The sequence below is a fragment of the Homo sapiens genome, chromosome 10 (genome assembly GCF_000001405.40).
Source record: "Homo sapiens chromosome 10, GRCh38.p14 Primary Assembly".
Taxonomy (NCBI): Eukaryota; Metazoa; Chordata; class Mammalia; order Primates; family Hominidae; genus Homo; species Homo sapiens.
In genome coordinates this window covers 104,506,880-104,508,677 of record NC_000010.11, presented here as the reverse complement: position 1 = coordinate 104,508,677, position 1,798 = coordinate 104,506,880, and the positions used below count along the sequence as shown (strand labels likewise).

General features: G+C 42.8%; 1 annotated feature.

The window, feature by feature from the left end:
• Positions 474–664: a silencer, noted in NCBI's record as "fragment chr10:106267772-106267962 (GRCh37/hg19 assembly coordinates)". NCBI's record gives its function as "represses an EF-1alpha promoter that drives an FKBP-Casp9 reporter gene in an ReSE screen in K562 erythroleukemia cells {active_cell/tissue: K562}" and the evidence as "EXISTENCE:reporter gene assay evidence [ECO:0000049][PMID:32094911]".

Genomic DNA, 1,798 nt, shown 5'->3' with positions numbered 1-1,798 from the left:
AAAATTTTATGATATATAGACATGTATATAAATGCAATATATAATATATATTATATATATAACTGCAATAAAAAATGAATTCCCATTAAACAGGTAAAAGTATACTGACCAGATAAGTTGTATCTGATTGACTATATGTTATCTTGATAAAGTTGTCATAATACATTGGACATTGTGTGGAGTACAGAAAGACAAAAGCCATGGAGAAACAATGTTTTGAGTATCTCCTGTCCAGTTGAATGGTTGGTCTGGTTCTAATAATAAACACTTCTGAATGAGACAAAAGTATCTTCAGGATAAGTAGGAGGAAATATTCCTTGTGAATATCCAACCTTTTTTGCTCTTATTCTGCACTCCTCAGGCAACATTCTGATTCAGGATGGACCCTTCTCAAGCACCCTTCCTGACCACAGCCCCAGGAGGCAGTGGCCCTCCTCTGCAGGTACATGTGGCTGGCCCCTAACTTCCTGCTGGAGAAGCCTTCTGTTGTAAATGTCCATGCCAGTTATGTACCTCATTCCCCTGAGAGCAGAGTCCTGTTTAGCCACAACGAATCCATTCCCCAGAACCACAGTGCCCGGCCAATTGAAAAAACTGAAGTTCTAAACCTACAAAGCTGATGAGGCAATGGCCCCCTAGGGGAGCACAAATTCCAGAAAGTCCAGCCTGGGAAGTGAACTGCCAACTGCATCCACCGCCACCTTCCTTATACCACCACTCTCCACACACTCACCTGTTTACAATGAAATCATCAGCCAAACCTGCGAAATGCTCTCATTTTGTCCAGCAATGGAGGAAACATTATCTGCTTCTGTTTTCCAAGCTCATCACAGGGATCTGTCAAGTCCCACTTTAATCTCTCCTCCTCAGCAAAATCTTGGCTGAATTCTCCATACTCCATGGATCTCCCCACTGTCTCAGCTAAATGCCTACAGAATCAGAACCAAGGATTTGCCATTTAATTATGCATGGCCTGGTGTCTCTTCCTGGCATAAATACCTTGATGGGGTGGAAAAGGCATGGATTTTGTAGCCAGAGAGATTTAGGCTCTGCCACCCCTTGGTTGTGTGACCTTTTGACTCTGAGGTGGATCTGCACCTGTGCTTATGGAGTGTGAGAAACTTGGTCAAGGTAATAGAACTAGAAAGGTGAGCTAATAGCCACAAGAGTGCCCAGCACTGTGCAGATGCACAGCTGGTACTCTCTGCATACACTTCCAAATTTCCAGAGGCTAAGGAACTCTTGCCCTGGAGTTGTTTTCCACCCTGGCTGCATATTAGACTCTGGCAGATAGTTTCTGATCCCAGGAATCCTGGGATGAGGCTTGAGGATCTATTCCTTGAAAGCTCCCCCAGCCATTTCCCTAGAGCTCACAGCACATTACTGGGTTCAACAAATGTTCAAGAAGGATTTCATAAGTTGATTGAGATGTTCTGTGATAAATATGATTGACAAGGAAGGGCAATTCCTTTTGGGCATCATTATGAGGTTCCACTTTAATAGTGAGAAAACCTATAAGAACATTAGGCAATTCCAGACGAGCATTAACCGAGCTTTCAAACACTTAGTCTTAAGACCAAGCATCCCAACAATATTTCTGCTAATTATTCACAACAGCAGTGTCTCTTCACATACCGAGAGTCCTTTTAGGGGAAATAACCATCTTCTTCAAGACATACTTCATTTGCTACAGTGGTGAGAAATAACAGGGTCATGGAAGAACCTCAGGAGGAAGAGCTGAGAAGCCCAGTGGTGTATAAATAGATAGCTGGATGGTTACTAAATTTGACTGCAGAGT